The following is a 17837-nucleotide window of genomic DNA, read 5'->3' as shown; positions in this document are numbered from 1 at the left end:
AGGTTTGCTGTTTTCTACTGTCTTTGTCTTTCTTGGTCTTATTGCTTATTGTTAACCTGAGTTTTAATTCAATCTGAGTTTACATGTTTCTATCACAGATATATTTTAAAATTTAGTCTGACAGTTACCAAGTATTCATTTGGAACTTGTAGGAGTCTGAGAACTCTAATAATATTTCTGGCTATTCATTTTCATTTTTGACCATTTATTATGTATTCTAATATTAATGGGTTTTCTAGTCACATAATGACTTCTGGTTTTCAGTGACGGGGCATCTTATGAAATCTTTGTAAGTACCATAGAGTATGACTCACTTGGCAACTGGCACTTTACATTGTTTTGCCTGTTACTGAAATTTAAGAATATTGGATCCTATATATCCCTGATTTGATTCAAATAAAAAATTAGTTCACATACTGAAATCTAGCAGTTTAAAACAAATATGGATGCAAGCGAGAACAAATACCTAGCACATACAGGTTTCCTGCAAGATAATTCTGTTCTACCAAAGAAAATGGCATTGTAGCACAGTCCAAATGAATGAATGCCAATTGTGCTGTGTAAGTTTCTCAGTGCAAGTTTTTCAGCATTCTTAATTTGTTGAGGGCTCTTTGCATTAATTAAAAATGATAAAAACAAAGTATTTTAATGTGACCTTCATTTGGCATTTGTATTAACTTTTCTTATCCTATTTTATTTAATTCTTCCACTTCTGTTGTTCAATTAGTGTTTGACCCCTTTAGGAGAGATGTAAATTAAATGACATTTCAATGCCATCCCATATTTAAAATACTGTGTTAGTTGTGGATCATAAATGATGATCTTCATTCTTTAGCTAATTTATTCATTTAACAATTTCCCTCCAGAAGTTTCAGCAGAAGGCTCTGAAGCAAACTAAGCAGAAGAAATCCAAGTCGGCTGAATTTCTGATGGGTGAGCCTTGCTTGATGAGTTATTGCTCATAATTTGTGTAAGGATTAATTAACTAATTACAGACAAATGGCTGTGGGCGAAATTTTGCTCTTGCTTGTCAGGGTGCAATTTGTAATTATTTTAATCATTTATTCTTTTTTTTAAGAGTTAATTTTAACCTAATTCTGTTTTGGTGACATTTGAGGACGATACACTTGAGTCTTTCCACGCAAGAATTACTGGAAGGAATTTTCTGCTTGTCATTGGAATATATTTTGTTATCGTATGATCTTCTGACCTCCTTGTTTTGCTCTAGTTAAAGAAGATAGAGAAGCTACAGAAGGCACTGGAAATCCAGCTTTTAACATGAGCAGTCCAGATCTCTCAGCATGTCAGACTGCAGAAAAGAAAGTTATTAGACACGACATGCCGGATCGCACCCTTGCAGCTCACCAACAAAAATTCAGGCTGCCAGCCTCTGCAGAACCAAAAGGTGTGACTTCAGTCCTGATTATCTTCACACTCAGTGACAGTTGCTGTCCTCCTCATCTAACCTGGGCATCCTAGAGCTGGCATCAGGCATTCCAGTCTGGCGTGTCTACACAGGTTTCCTGGGGAGGCTCTGGATGTAACTCGGCAGGACACACTTAAGGATCTGCTTTGCCATTGGTATGCAGGCCATAATCTCATCTGTGAAGGTTGCTGAGCACTGAATCCACCCCAACTCCGGATGCTGAGATGGAAGGGGTTCAGTCTGTCAGGGCGTCACACCCTCGACTCTGGTGCAGATAGGGGATTAAATGTTGACGCTCCCATTTATAGGATGCCATCCTGCCAATATACTTGTAGACTATGCTGGCACCCCATTTTGGGGCTTAGACCCTAATGCTTCCCTCCTTTAGAGGAAGATATAATTTCTCTATAGGTTTAGACACCTGTGCAAGAGTTTTAAGAATAACTGCATGAAGCATCCCTTAGTATTTATAATTTCTCTGCAGAAATTTACCATAAGAAATAGTTTCCTTGATTTTCTGAGTTAGGGATAGTTCCGATAGTTAACTATATAAAGGGTGCTACCTAAGCAAGGGGAGTACACACTTTGCATCAAGTCAATATATGATGTCTGGTTCCTCCCACTCTCGAGAAGGCAGCTCTTCTAAGCTATGACCAATTTGCTGCCAAGAAGGGAAGATTGCTTGCACCTACAAAGAAGTCATTAAAAGTTGCTGTCTTTGCTCTTATCATCATCATTGAACAAGACAAAAGATACCCGAATTTAATAACCAGATAGCTTTTAGAGAGGGAACTGTCTGAAGTAATGAAGCATGAGCTGGCACAGATGTGTTCTCGGCTGGTCCCACTTAGCAGCCTCATCAGGATTTCCACCTGTATGAAACAGGCAGTGCAGATCCCAGTAGATTATCATGGTGTACAGAGCATGCATGTTGTGATTTTTAATTCCTAAGGCTCAGGAGAAATTCTGCCAGCCTCTAAGTATTTAATATCTACCTTCTACGTAATATCATACATGTTCACATCGATGGATTTTGCTTAGGTTTTCTTCTCCTTGCCTGTGTGCATGCATGTGTTTGTGTGTGTGTGTGTGTGTTTGTTTCTGTACGTCTGTAGCTAGGTGGTGGGATTTGGGCTATCAATAATAATAATAATAAACAGCTGCCATTCTTTCTTTAGTGCTTATTATATGTTATCAGATACTAAGCACTTTATGTACATTACCTCATTTAATTTCATACTTCTTTAGGGTGGCATTGTAGGGTATGCATTCAGTTAATGCACTAAAAGCCCCAGTAACAGTGGCTTTGACAAATTTTGGTGTCTTTCCTTTTTTTAAAAATGTACTTTTAAGTTCAGGGGTACATATTCAGGTTCGTTATATAGATAAACTTGTGTCATGGGGGTTTGTTGTACCGATTATTTCATCACCCAGGTATTAAGCCTAGTACCCATTAGTTATTTTCCTGATCCTTTCCCTCCTCCCACCTTCCACCTTCCAATAGGCCCCAGTGTATGTTGTTCCCCTTTATGTGTCCATGTGTTCTCATCATTTAGCTCCCACTTATAAGTGAGAACATGTGGTATTTGGTTTTCTATTCCTGCATTAGTTTGCTAAGGATAGTGGCCTCCAACTCCATCCCTGTTTTTGTAAAGGACATGATCTCATTTTATTTTGGCTACATAGTATTCCATGGTGTATATCTACCACATTTGTTTTATGCAGTCTACCATTGATGGGCATTTAGGTTGATTCCATGTCTTTGCTATTGTGAATAGTGCTGCAATGAGCATATGCGTGGATGTGTCTTTATGGTAGAACAGTTTATTTATATTCCTTTGGGTATGTACCCCCTAAAGGGATTGCTGGGTCAAATAGTATTTCTGATTTTAGGTCTTTGAGAAATCGCCACACTGTCTTCTGCAATGGTTAAACTAATTTACACTTCTACCAACTGTGTGTAAGTATTCCTTTTTCTCCACAACTTCACCAGCATCTGTTATTTTTTTATTTTTTAGTAATAACCATTCTGACTGGCGTGAGATGGTATCTCTCTGTGGTTTTGATTTGCATTTCTCTAATAATCAGTTATGTTGAGCTTTTTTCATATGATTGTTGGCCGCATGATATTCTTTTTTGAGAAGTGTCTGTTCATGTCCTTTCTCCACTTTTTAACAGGGTTGTTTGTTTTACTCTTGTAAATTTGTTTAAGTTCCTTATAGATGCTGAATATTAGACCTTTGTTAGATGTATAGTCTGCAAAACTTTTCTCCCATTCTGTAGGTTGTCTGTTTACTCTGCTGATAGGTTCTTTTGCTGTCCAAAAATTCTTTAATTAGATCTCATTTGTCAAGTTTTACTTTTGTTGCAATCGCTTTTGGCATCTTTGTAATTAAATCTTTGCCTGTGCCTGTGTTCAGAATGATACTGCCTAGGTTGTCTTCCAGGGTTTTTGTAGTTTGGGGTTTTACATCTAAGTTTTTAATCCATCTTGAGTTGATTTTTGTATATGGTGTAAGAAAGGGGTCCAGCTTCAGTCTTCTGCGTATGGCTAGCCAGTTATCCCAGCACCATTTATTAAATAGGAAATCCTTTCCCCTTTGCTTGTTTTTGTCAATTTTGTCAAAGATCAGATAGTTTTAGGTGTGTGGCCTTATTTCTGGAGTTTGTATTCTGTTCCATTTGTCTATGTGTCTGTTTTTGTACCAGTACCATGCTGTTTTGGTTATTGTAGCCCTGTAATATAGTTTGAAGTTGTGTAGCGTGATGCCTCCAGCTTTGTTCTTTTTGCTTAAGATTGCTTTGGCTATTCAGGCTCTTCTTTGGTAACGTATGAATTTTAAAATAGTTTTTTCTAGTTCTGTGAAGAATGTCATTGGTAGTTTAGTAGGAATAGCATTGAATCTATAAATTGCTTTGGGCAGTATGACCATTTTAAAGATATTGACTCTTCCTATTCATGAGCATGGAATGTTTTTCCATTTGTTTGTGTCATCTCTGATTTCTTTGAGTAGTGTCTTATAGCCCTCCTTGCAGAGATCTTTCACTTCTCTGGTTAGCTGGTATTTCTAAGTATTTTATTTGTGTGCATGTGTGGCAATTGTGAGTGGGATTGCATTCCTGATTCTGCTCTCAGCTTTGACTGTTATTGGTATATAGGGGTACTAGTGATTTTTGCACATTGATTTTGTATCCTGAGACTTTGCTGAAGTTGTTTTACCAGTTTAAGGAGCTTTTGGGCTGAGACCATGGAGTTTTATAGTTATAGGATCATGTCATCTGTAGACAGGGATAGTTTGACTTCCTCTCTTCCTATTTGGATGCCCTTTATTTCTTTCTCTTGCCTGTTTGCTCTGGTCAGGACTTCCAATACTATGTTGAATAGGAGTGGTGAGAGAGGGCATCCTTAACTTGTTCCAGTTTTCAAAGGGAATGCTTCCAGCTTTTGCCCTTGGTATGATGTTGGCTGTAGGTTAGTCATAGATGGCTCTTATTATTTTGAGGTATATTCCTTCAACACCTAATTTATTGAGAGTTTTTAACATGAAGGCGTGTTGAATTTTACTAAAAGCCTTTTTTTCATCTATTGAGATAATCATATAGCTTTTGTCTTTAGTTCTGTTTATGTGATGAGTCACATGTTTTGATTTGTATATGTTGAACCAACCTTGCATCCCAGGTATAAAGCCTACCTGATTGTGTTGGATAAGGTTTTTGATGTGCTGCTAGATTCAATTCTCCAATATTTTGCTGGGGATTTTTGCATCTATGTTCATCAAGAATATGGGCCTAAAGTTTTTTTGTTGTTGTTGTGCTTCTGCCAGGTTTTAGTAGCAGAATGATGCTGGACTCACAGAATGAGTTAGGGGAGGATTCCCTCTTCCTCTTTTTTTTTTTTTTTTTTGAAGTACCTTCAGTAGGAATGGTGGAATAATGGTACCAGCTCTTCTTTGTACATCTGGTAGAACTCAGTTGTGAATCCATCTGGTCCTGGGCTTTTCTTGGTTGGTAGGCTATTTATAACTGATTGAATTTCAGAGCTCTTTATTGGTCTGGTCAGGGATTTAATTTCTTGCTGGTTCAGTCTTCGGAGTCCAGGAATTTATCTATTTCTTCTAGATTTTCTAGTTTATATGCATAGGGGTGTTCATAACATTCTCTGATGGTTGTTTGTATTTCTGTGGGGTCTGTGGTAATATCCTTCTTGTTTTGGATTGTGTTTATTTGGATTTTCTCTCTTTTATTCTTTATTAGCCTAGCTAGCATTCTAGCTATTTTATTGATGTTTTCAAAAAACCAGCTCCTGGATTCGTTGATCTTTTGAATGGTTTCTTGTGTCTCAGTCTCCCTCAGTTCAGCTCTGATTTTGGTTATTTCTTGTCTTCTTTCCATTTTATTATTTTATAATCCCTAAGCTGTTGTTCTCATCTGCATGGTCCAAGATGACTAGATATCACTTCTATATTTCAGGCACTTGCAGAAAAGAAAAAGGCCACATACAGGTAGTTAGATATGCCATTTCTGTTTCTATGCCTTTTGCCAGAGAGAGAGTTAGATATGCCATTTCTGTTTGTATGCCTTTTGCCACATGGAGCTGCAAGAGAGGCTGGGAAATGAAGGCCTTAGCTGGTAGCCAAGTTCCAAGGTGAAGGTGGAAGGTTTCTATTATTATTATTATTATTATTTGAGATGGAATTTTGCTCTGTAGCCCAGGCTGGTGTGCAGTGGCATGATCTCGGCTCACTGCAACCTCTGCCTCCTGGGTTCAAGTGGTTCTCCTGCCTCAGCCTCCCAAGTAGCTGGGATTACAGGTGCCTACCACCTCACCTGGCTAATTTTTGTATTTTTAGTAGAGATGGGGTTTCTCCATGTTGGCCAGGCTGGTCTCGAACTCCTGACCTCAAGTGATTACCCCGCCTTGGCCTCCCAAAGTGCTGGGATTATAGGTGTGAGCCACCGCACCCGGCTGGTTTCTATTATTAAAGAAGAGAATGTATATTGGGGTCAACTAGCAGGCCCTACTCAAAGTACATTTTATTATTATCCTCATCCTATAGATGAGGAAATCAAGGTTGTAGCTTGACTAAGGTAAAGCATACAATGCATGGTGTGATGAGAGATTTAAAGGAGGGCTTGTTTGGCTCTGCGGTATATGCATTTTACTCCTCTGCTGTATGTCTCTCTTTTGGTTAGGGGTGATGTCACCTGATAAAAGGACAGGGCATTGTGAAGGAATGTCAGCATGACATCTAGTGTGGTTGCATGATGTAATCAGAAAGGAAACTCTAGAGCTTGGCCAGACATGCAAGGTCAGCAAATCCATAGATTAGCAGAGAAGATGCAGGAAAGAAGATGAATGCACAGGAAAAGGAAGGGAGGGTTAGAGTTCCTTGGCATCCATTTGGCCTCTCAGTGAACTCTTGACTCTGAAGATCAACTTCTGGTGTCATCAGTCCAGGGGCAGGCAAATATCACCTGTCCAGGGGCAGAGCAAGGGAATCTTTGGTTCCCTTGACAGAAATGGTCTTGTTATTGAGCTAGAGTATTTCACAGTTAGATCCTGGAGGTAAAAATGTGTCCTTGAGCCCAAATGGAGGATGGAGCAGCCCTTCGTTATAAATTCATATTTAGCAGAGGTATTCAGACTTCTTCAATAAGAATTCTTATTCCCTGGGGGCAAAAAAAAGACTAGGAAGCCTTTGTGAAAAATCTCAATTTTTTAAGTTTTTAGATTGATATTCAGTTTAGAAGTGGAGTACTACTTGATGACTTAGCTGTTTGAAACTCAATAAAATGAGGCATGGTTAATAATTACACTTATCATACATCAGGTGTTGGAGAGAGAGAAAAGTGAGGTCATAAGAAGGATGTCATCTGTGTCTTAGGATGTTAAGTACATGTTACAGGCAAGTACTATCTAAGAGAAAGTAAAGAGAGCCACATACATAATTTAAAATTTTCTCCCTTTAGGAAGCTGAGGCTGGAGGATCACTTGAAGCCAGAAGTTTGAGATCAGCCTGGGCAACAAAGTGAGACCCCATCTCTACAAAAAAAAAAAAAAAAAAATTAGTCAGGGGTGGTGGCATGTACCTGTAATTCCAGCTACTCAGTAGGATGAGGTGGGAGGATCACTTAAGCCCAGGAAGTCAGAGGCTGCAGTGAGCTATGATCATGTCACTGCACTCCAGCCTAAGCTACAGAGCAAGACCCCATCTCTAAAGTAAAAAAAAAAAATAAATACAATTTCTGATAGCTACTGTAACAAGATTTTTTAAAAAGCTCAATTAATTCTAATTTTTTCTATATTCTATATTTCTAATTCTATATTTTATTTAAGCCAATATCTCTAAAATATTATCATTTCAACTTAAAACCAATGTAAAACTGAAATATTTTCCCTTTTTTGTACAAAATCTTTAAAACACAGTGTGAATCATTACACTGACAGCAAACCTCAATGTGAGTTAGCCCCATTTCAAGTGCTGTATAGGCATACTATTATAGATTTAGTCCCTGTGTGTTAGGAAAGACTAGGCATGAAGGTAGTTATTTTCACAAGTGATCGTCAGTTTGGTTTTGGAAGATGGGAGGATCCAAATTTATAAGCCAAAAGTAAAGCAGAGAGGAAGAAACCAAAGAGAAGGAACTTTGGATGAAAAATCCAAGAATGATTTATCATCCTTACAAATCCAGCCAGTTACTGACAGAGGCAGGAGTTATATTCTCTGTATTCTGGAATAAAGCCAACTTAAAAAAATTATTCAATGCATTTTTACCTTTCCCTATTCCCTTTGAGGGGACTTCTGAAAAAATTCAGTTGCAAATGATACATGCAATTTTATGGTCTGTGAATAAAGAAGAATATTTGAAATACGTGCACGTAGAAACTACTAGATACCGTAGAACACGGTGTTTCTTGTTAATACAGTTTTTTAAAAGAACATTTATATTAACTGCCAATGTGGTTACTTAGAGAAAATAGAGTAGTTACATATTTTCCCCACAATAATATTAGAATTAGCACAAATTATCATCTGGAAAGTAAATATCAATACATTTCTTCCTTTAAGATGCTTTTTAAAGAAATGCATTGTATGTAATGGCAGAATTCCAACATGACTTTATTCAAATTCCCTCAAGGAAATGAAAAATTATTTGCCAAATAGCAATTTAAATTATGAAGGAAATGTCTAGGAGAGGGATTTTCTAGAACCAAATCTTTATAAAAAAGACTTCAAGTTTATGATAGATTGAGTCTCTTAGTATAGTAGAAAAGTAATTAAAGTAAGGACACACTGATCTTCAGGAATAGCCAAAATAGGCAACTACCAACTGCTGTGATTTCGAGATCATTGGGAAGGGCTTTGTATACCCTCAGATCCCACCTGGAGACTCCAGTGTTAAGGCGTCCTTAGAAACTTATTCATCTAAACGTTTTCCAGGGAAAATGACAATGGGCAGCAGAGCTGACACTGTAAGTTGGTATCGGCCATTTTTTTTTTTTTTTTTGAGACAGAGTTTAGCTTCCTCTGTTGGCCAGGCTAGAGTACGGTGGCGCTATCTCAGCTCACTGCAGCCTCCACCCCGTGGGTTCAAGCAATTCTCATGCCTCAGCCTCCAAAGTAGCTGGGACTACAAGTGAATGCCACTACACCTGGCTAATTTTTGTATTTTCAGTAGAGATGGGGTTTCCCCATGTTGGCCAGGCTGGCCTCAAACTCCTGGCTCCAGGCAGATTGCTTGGGGCCAGGAGTAACAGACGTGAGCCACCATGCCTGGCCAGTAACAGTCATTTTTGCAAGGTGCAAATGGAAAACAATAGAACAGAACTGAACTCTCAGTCCTTCCTTCTCACTGTTGCCGTATCCCCTCCTGGCCTGCTCTGCCTTTGCTCCCCCACTTCTGATGAAAGTCCGCGAGGCTCTGCATCAGACTTTTGTTTCAGTTCCCACTGGCCTTTCGTTTGTAAGCAGACAATTAGCAAAAACGTTAAACACCCCATGCTGTACATTCCCAGAGGAATTTGCATATATGTAATTTTTTTTAAGTATGAATGCAAAGATTTATTAGAAGGATTTTTAAAAGTCATACAACTTTTTAACACTTATTTTAGGTTTGTGGGTACATGCGAAGGTTTGTTACATAGCTAAACATACATCACAGGAGTTTGTTGTACAGATTATTTCATTACCCAGATATTAATTCATCACCCAGGTATTAAGCCCAGTATCCAATAGTTACCTTTTTTGCTCCTCTCCCTCCTCCCACCCTCCTCCCTCAAATAGACAGCAGTGTCTGTTGTTTTCTTCTTTGTGTTTGTAAGTTCTTACCATTTGGCTCCCACTTACATGTGAGAACATGCAGTATTTAGTTTGCTGTTGCTGTGTTAGTTTGCTATGGATAATAGCCTCCAGCTCCATCCATGTTCCCGCAAAAGACATGACATCATTCTTTTTTACAACTGCATAGCATTCCATGGTGTATATGAACCACATTTTCTTTATCCAATCTGTCATTGATGGGCATTTTGGTTGATTCCATGTCTTCGCTATTGTGAGTAGTGCTACAGTGAATTTTCGCGTGCATGTGTCTTTATGGTAGAATGATTTATATTCTTCTGTGTATATACTGAATAATGGGATTGCTGGGTCAAATGGCAGTTCTGCTTTTAGCTCTTAGAGGCATTGCCATACTGTTTTCCACAGTGGTTGAACTAATTTACCCTCCCACCAACAGTGCATAAGTATTCCCTTTTCTCCACAAACTCGCCAGCATCTGTTATTTTTTTTTTTTTGACTTTTTAGTAATAGCCTTTCTGACTGGTGTGAGATGGTATCTCATTGTGGTTTTGATTTGCGTTTCTCTAATGATCAGTGATATTGAGATTTTTTCCTATGCCTTTTGGCTGCATGTATGCCTTCTTTTCAGAGGTGTCTGTCTGTGTCCTTTGCTGGGCTGCATGTCCTCTGCTCCATCTTGCCCAGACCCGGTGTTTGTTGTGTGCACACTGCTTCCCTGATGGAACTGTCTCACCTCATCCTCAGTGCTCACTGCCTGCTACACCCTGCCTGAAGATGATTTGCTAGATGATAACAGCACATCCAGAATTATCATAGTTGAAAAGAGATGTGTAGAGAAGCCACAACTGCTTAGAACTTCACGGGGAGAGTTTGTTTTGGTTCCTAACCTGGGTGGGGGGAAAGAGAACCTTTACTATTCCGAATATATAATATGGTGGTACTAAAATTAGAGTTAATACCTGAGTTCTATTTTTTATGTTTTATATGTATTTTTTATAGAAACAGAGTCTCACTACGTTGCCTATGTTGCCTAGGCTGGCCTCCAACTCCTGGGCTAAATTCTAAATGGCAGTAAAATGTAATGTGGGACAGATGTGAGAAGGGGCTATAGGAAGATACTAGATAGGAAGAAAAATAATTATAGACGTGAATAGTGGAACAGTTAAACTCATGGTGAGTTTTTTTTGTTTGTTTGTTTTTGAGACGGAGTCTCACTCTTGTCGCGCAGGCTGGAGTGCAGTGGTGCGATCTCAGCTCACTGCAACCTCTGCCTCCTGGGTTCAAGTGATTCTCCTGCCTCAGCCTCCTGAGTAGCTGGGATTACAGGAACCCACCATCATGCCTCGCTAAGTTTTGTATTTTTAGTAGAGACGGGGTTTCACCATGTTGGCCAGGCTGATCTTGAACTCCTCACCTTGGAAGATCCGCCCACCTCAGCCTCCCAAAGTGCTCGGATTACAGGCGTGAGCCACCGTGCCCAGCCTCATGGTGAATTTTTGAAATTGCACTTAGGAAGTTTTTCCTTTTCAATTTCTAACTTTCACTGAGGTTATTTCAAAACTAAGTGGAAAAGAAACAAATGTGATTAATTGTATACATTATTGTTTAAGCCAGGCATAGCTATACTTAACTTTAAAAAGCAGAATTGACAATATTGAAGAATACAACCCTGCTTTTCCCTCTTTCCTCCTGGGAGTTGTGTATTACGGTTGTTTCTGTACTCTTGCTAGACATCACATGGTAGCATCTTCCAAGGATGCAGACTGGCTGCTATGATGCTGGTGTGAACATGTGCCACTTAGAGCTCCTTGGTGGTAAACAACAGAAACCATCTCTTACTAATTCAAGCAGAAGGATTTCATGAGCTCTGAGATTCAATAGTGGAAATGGGCAAAAACTGAGATGCCTACGGGTACAGGAAGTTGGAAACACAGTAACTGTCCCATAGCAGGAGCAGTCTGGTTTTGATACAGCTCTTAACCACTGTGATGAGTAAATGCCAAACGTTCTTTCCATCCTTGTTTCACTTATACAAAATTCGAAGTCTTAGAGGGAGATCATTTGATTGGCCATGCATAGGCCAGTTGCTTGCCTCCTGGCTCTATCACAGGGTAGGAGAAGTAGATTCTGTCAAGCCCTCCTTGGCTTCTGTAGTTGGAGAGAGGAATCTGGAGTTACTGGGCCATTGAGACTGTACACAATGAAACTAGGAAATTGTGATGCCATTAAGGAGGGGAAATGGATGCAAGACAGCAAAGACAGATAAGCCAAACAAAAATCTGATAAGTGTTCCTATGGTTGATATGGCTTGGATTATTTACTGACTGCCACCTATTGCTAATAATGTCAGTACAACATCAATGAAAACAGAAGTGGTATATGCATGATTAGTTGGGCATAAAGTAATTTATTCCACATTTTGATCAGAAGTTAGATATGTAAAACATCAAAAATGCTTTATGTGTCTCTCCATTTCTTCCTCCTCATTCGTTGAAAAGCATATTTACTGAACATTTTCTATTTTTCAGGCACTATGCCAGGTATGAGAAATATAAAAGAAAACAGAAAAGACATAAAGGATTTCTATGTTTATGAAATATATTATGTCAGCAGAGTTGCATTGAGGGCAACTACAGGCATACCTTGGAGATATTGCGGATCTAGTTCTAGACCACTACAATAACATGAGTATCACAAAACAGTGAGTCATGTAAATGTATTGGTTTCCCAGTGCATATAAAAGTTATGTTTACACTTTATTGTAGCCTATAAAGTATGCAATAGCATTATGTTCAAAAATACGTATGCACCCTAATTAAAAAAATACTTTGCTGCTAAAAATTGCAACAATCCTCTGAGCCTTCAGTGAGTCATAATCTTTGCTGGTGGAGCAAAGCTAGATGTTGATGGCTGCTGACTGGTCAGTGGTGGTTGCTGAAGTTGGAGTGGCTGTGGAAAAATCTTAAAATAATACAACAATGAAGTTTGCCACAGCAATTTATTCTTCCTTTCACAAAAGATTTCTCCGTAGCATGCGATGCTGTTGGATAGCCTTTCACCCACAGTAGAACTTTCAAAATTGGAGTCAATCCTCTGAAACTCTGCAGCTGCTTTGCCAGCGAAGTTTATGTAATATTCTAAATCCTTTGTCATCATTTCAGACAATGTTCACAGCTTCATCACCAGAAGACTCCATATTAAAAAACCACCTTATTTGATCATTTGTAAAAAGCAACTTCTTATCCATTCAAGTTTTATCAGGAGATTGCAGCACTTCTGTCTGTTTCAGCCTCTACTTCTAACTCTAGTTCTCTTGCTATTTCTACCACATCTGCAGTTAATTCCTCCACAGAATTCTTGAACCCCCTCAGAGTTACCCAGGGGGGTCAGAATCAATTTCTTCCAAACTCCTGTTAATGTTGATATTTTGACCTCCTCCCATGAATCACAAATGTTCTTAATGACAACTATAATTGTGAATCCTTTCTAGAAAGTTTTTAATTTCCTTTACCTAGATCCAACAGAGGAATTTCTACCTATGGGATGCTTACCTTTATGAAATGTATTTCTGAAATAATAAGATTTGAAAGTCGAAACTACTCCTTTATCCATGGACTGCAGAATGGATGTTCTGTTAGCAAGCATGAAAACAACGTTCATCTCCTTGTGCTTCTCCATCAGGAGCTCTTGGGGACCAGGTGCACTGTCAATGAGAAGTAATATTATGAAAAAAATCTCTTTTTCTGAGCAGTGGGTCTCAACAGTGGGCTTAATATATTCAGTAAAACAAGCTGTTAACAGATGTGCTGTCATCCAGGCTTTCTTGTTCCATTTATGGAGCACAGACAGATGTAGTGTAATTCCTAAGGGCCCTAGGATTTTCAGAATGGTACATAGTATTGGCTTCAACTTAAGGTGATCAGCTGCATTAGCCCCTAATAAGCGAGTCCAACTGTTCTTTGAAGCTTTGAAGACAGGCACTGACTTCTCTCTAGCTGTGAAAGTTCTAGATGGCATCTTCTTCCAACAGAAGGCTATTTCATCCACATGGAAAATCTATTGTTTCGCATAGCCACCTTCATCAATGATCTTAGCTAGATATTCTGGATAACTTGCTGTAGCTTCTGCATCAGCACTTGCTGCTTCACCTTGCACTTTTCTGTTATGGAAATGGCTTCTTTCTTTAAACCTCACGAGCCAACCTCTGCTAGCTTCATTTTTTTCTTCTGCAGTTTTCTCACCTCTCTCAGTCTTCACAGAATTGAAGAAAGTTAGGGTCTTGCTCTGGATTAGGCTTTGGTTTAAGGGAATATTGTGGCTGATTCCATCTTCTATCCACACCACTAGAACTTTCTCCATATTAGCAAAGCTATTTTGCTTTCTTATAATTAATGTGCTCACTGGAGTAGCACTTTTAATTTCTGTGAAGAGCTTTTCCTTTGCATTTGCAATGTGGTGGTTGGGTGGGTGCAAGACTCTTAGCTTTCCGTCTGTCTCACCTTTCAACATGCCTTCCTCACTAAGTTTAATCATTTCTAGCTTTTGAATAAAGTGAGAGATGTATGACTCTTTCTTTCACTTGAACACATAGAGGCCAATGTAGGGTTATTAATTGGTTTAGTTTCTATATGGTTGTGTTTCAGGGAATAGGGGGCCTGAGTAGAGGGAGAAAGATAGGGGATAAAGAGAATAGCTGGTCAGTGGAGCAGTCAGAACACACACATTTATCTATTAAGCTTGCTGCCTTATATGGGCATGGTTTATGGTGCTGCAAGACAATTATAACAGTAATGTCAACTATCACCGATCACAGATCACCATAACAGACAATGTAACGAAAAAGGTTGAAATATTGAGAGAATTATCAAAATGTGACACAGAGACTTGAAGTGAACACATGCTGTTGGAACAATGGCATTGATAGAGTTGCTTGATCCACGGTTGCCAAAACCCTTCAATTTGTGAAAAACCCATTATTTGCAAAGCACAATAAAGTGAAGAGCAATCAAACAAGATGTTCTTGTGTTTAGATTACAGTTGACCAGGCTGGGCACAGTGGCTCAAGCCTGCAATCCTAACACTTTGGGAGGCCGAGGTGGTTGGATCACTGCAGGTCAGGAGTTCAACACCAGCCAGGCCAACATGACAAAACCCCATCTCTACTAAAAACACAAAAATTAGCTGGGTGTGGTGGTGCACGCCTGTAATCCCAGCTACTCAGTAGGCTGAGGTAGGAGAATTGCTTGAACCTGGGAGGCAGAGGTTGCAGTGAGTTGAGATTGCACGACTGTACTCCAGCCTGAGTGATAGAGAGACACTCCATCCCCCTACCAAAAAAAAATTACAGTTGATCAATTCAGATTCATCTGGCACTCTCAAACACATATATTATGTGCTCATATACAATTTTTACATCTATTTTATATGTTTTATAAATAGCGTTTCTTTTATTCAATGAATATTTGTAGATATATGGCCAAAATAGTGTGTGTGTGTGTGTGTGTGTGTGTGTGTGTGTGTAGATACACCATAATAGTATAATTGGGATTTCAGTTTAGTTAAGTTAAGCCATGTTCAGTTTAGGACTGAGCATATCTGAAGATTTGTGGATTAAAGTGGCCTGAAATGAACACAGCCTTGCAATGAAAAAACTGAGACAGAAATTTAGGTTTTCTGATACATCAATGATTTGGTCAATATCTTAGCAGTTGGACCTCAAAAATGCTTTCTTTTTTAAAATTAGTTCCCTTTAAATATTGGGTGAAATTAAAAAAATACTTTTTTGGCCATTATAATAAGAAGCTGTACTATATTAATGAAATTTCATATTAAATTCAAACTTCACTAAGCTGTCTTTCGCCACCATTCGACTAGTTGATTTGTTGCATTTTCATTTTAAGAAAGACTAAGATGCCTCCTGGGAAGAGACTAATTCTAAGGAAAGAGACAGTCAGGCACACAAGCTTGATCTCATGCCAATATCTCAGGGCCAGAGAGGAAAGGTAATTTTGATTACAGTACAATGTTTGCCAATTGTATTGTTCTGTGGTCTAATCCTCAGACATTTATTCTTGGGAGTTAGTGGGAGGGGCTTGAAGTAAAAACTGAGATCTCCATCAGTTGTAGGGAGCCTGTGTGTAACATGGAGGAGCAGCATGTGGTGGGTAGGAGCTGGAAGATGACATATACCGAACCCCTTCACTTAGCATTGCTGATGGAACATCGGATGGACGGAGGTGTGAGTGCAAGGTTTGATCAGAACCAGGAAGATATTGGAGAGAATGTGGCATGGCCTGCAATGGGCACCAGCAAGAATCAGTGTTAGAGACACAGTAGTCAATGGAGGTGACCCCAGCAGCAGCTCTGGCACTGACAGGATGACGTCCATGTGGCTTTGTGGACTGGAGGTGCCACCAGTTGTTTCATGATTGATGTGGAGACGCTCGTGGTTTGAAGAGCATCATGGTCAGCATAAAATCCTTGACAGCAGGCAGCAATGCTGAAGGCTGAGAGTAGGGAAGGAAAATGGCAGACATTCCAGAGATGTGGAGAGGAATGAGTTCTGAGCATATGTGATCTCAGGACTTAGATCTTTCTGGAAGAGATGAGAGGTAGTTAGAATAAAGGATAGGGATCCATAGTGGTAGAGAAATCCTGGATTAGGGTAATAACTGTGACCCTAAATTTACCTTGAGACCACTATGGCCATTAGAAATACACATGTACAAAAATTTGTAATAAAAACAACATAAGCACTTGTGTTAAGTGCATAATTCAAATTGTCTGAGCAAATATGTGATGAGAATTGTTTTTCCCAGTAGTGCACGTAGCCTAGATTATTTTAGAAGTGATATTGTATAAAACTGTTTACATTGTTCTCATTTATAGCTGTTTTTCCCTTAAGATGGAAAACAAGTGCTAAATAAAATTGATAGACCATTTACAAAATTTTTTTTTGCTTTGAGACATTTAAACAATTATTAAGAAAAAGAAAATATATAGGAAAATCATTTTCTTTAGGTTTATTGAACTGACCTGGATTTGTGTCTTCAGAAACCATTGGGGTCCTAAGTGATTTGAATCTCTTTCATTGATTTGGAAGGCTAAAAATAAATCCTCAGGAAAGCATCCTTTTTACTGAAATACAGAAATATTTTATATAGATATTAGATGTATGAAATATTTGGTCAGTTTATAAAAATAAATTTGTTTCCTTTCCTCTTTTTTTAAAACAACAACAAAAACAAAACCAGAAACAAACAAACAAAAAAATGGAACAGCAGAGTTCCAGGACAATGTTTATCCAGTTGGAGAAGGAACATTTTAATGAAACATATGAGTTTTGGAAATGTCAGCAGAATAAGAAAAAACTTTTTTTTTTTTTTCTCAGAGGAACTGACTACCCCCAGGTAATCAGACAGATTTGCCCAGGAAATTAGCAGAATATCTGTTTGTGTTGTCCTTTTCTGTTTCTGTTAATGCTAAAATTGATGCCAGTGGTGACACTTAACTCTTAAGCATAGTTATTTTTATATTGTTGCTTCAAATCCACGTTAATGAAACCTCCAGTGTATGATTTTGCAAACAATGTTTTATAAAATCTGCCATAGGTCATTGAAGAAATAATCTTTGTAAGAATTATTTTAACATCCAGAGACATTACTATTCCAGTTCATTGATGACAGACAGATTCATATATTTAAACCAGTGGGTTTATATGTCATTGAAATTTATATGCCTTTAAAATAAAAATGTGAGCACAATAATCTATATGATAGTAAAAAGGTTGCTTAAGAATCTTAGAGTCATAGAATGGTAAAACTGGAGATCATATAGGTGATTTTTTAGGGGTCCAATGACTTTCTTAATATAAACATCGCTACGTAGTTAAAAAAAAAAACTGGGAAAGACTTCAGTTTTCCATTAATGATGCAGTCAGTGTCTAAGCAGTTGGTCAGATTACCAAATTGTACCTACCTCTGCTTAAATATTACATAAAAATTTCAAAAGGACTTTTTTTTTGGCTACTAGAATATGAAGTTTCACTATATCAATTAAATTCCATGTAAATTTCAAACTTCATTTGGCCACCATTTTAGCTGGAATTCAAT

At 38.4% G+C, this 17837-nt stretch overlaps 1 pseudogene across 1 annotated transcript in view; it reads left to right on the top strand.

Annotated features, from left to right (window-relative positions):
- OFCC1 (orofacial cleft 1 candidate 1 (pseudogene)) overlaps positions 1 to 17837 on the top strand; it is a 506631-nt pseudogene that overhangs the window by 277434 nt on the left and 211360 nt on the right. The window contains exons 4-5 of the transcript NR_170155.1: positions 867 to 933; positions 1229 to 1405. The product of NR_170155.1 is annotated as an orofacial cleft 1 candidate 1 (pseudogene) (transcript). The remainder of the gene's footprint in view (positions 1 to 866; positions 934 to 1228; positions 1406 to 17837) is intronic.

Source organism: Homo sapiens, chromosome 6 (genome assembly GCF_000001405.40).
Source record: "Homo sapiens chromosome 6, GRCh38.p14 Primary Assembly".
Lineage (NCBI taxonomy): Eukaryota > Metazoa > Chordata > Mammalia > Primates > Hominidae > Homo > Homo sapiens.
The sequence above is the reverse complement of the archived record's forward strand: the minus strand, read 5'-3'. Positions and strand labels throughout refer to the sequence as shown.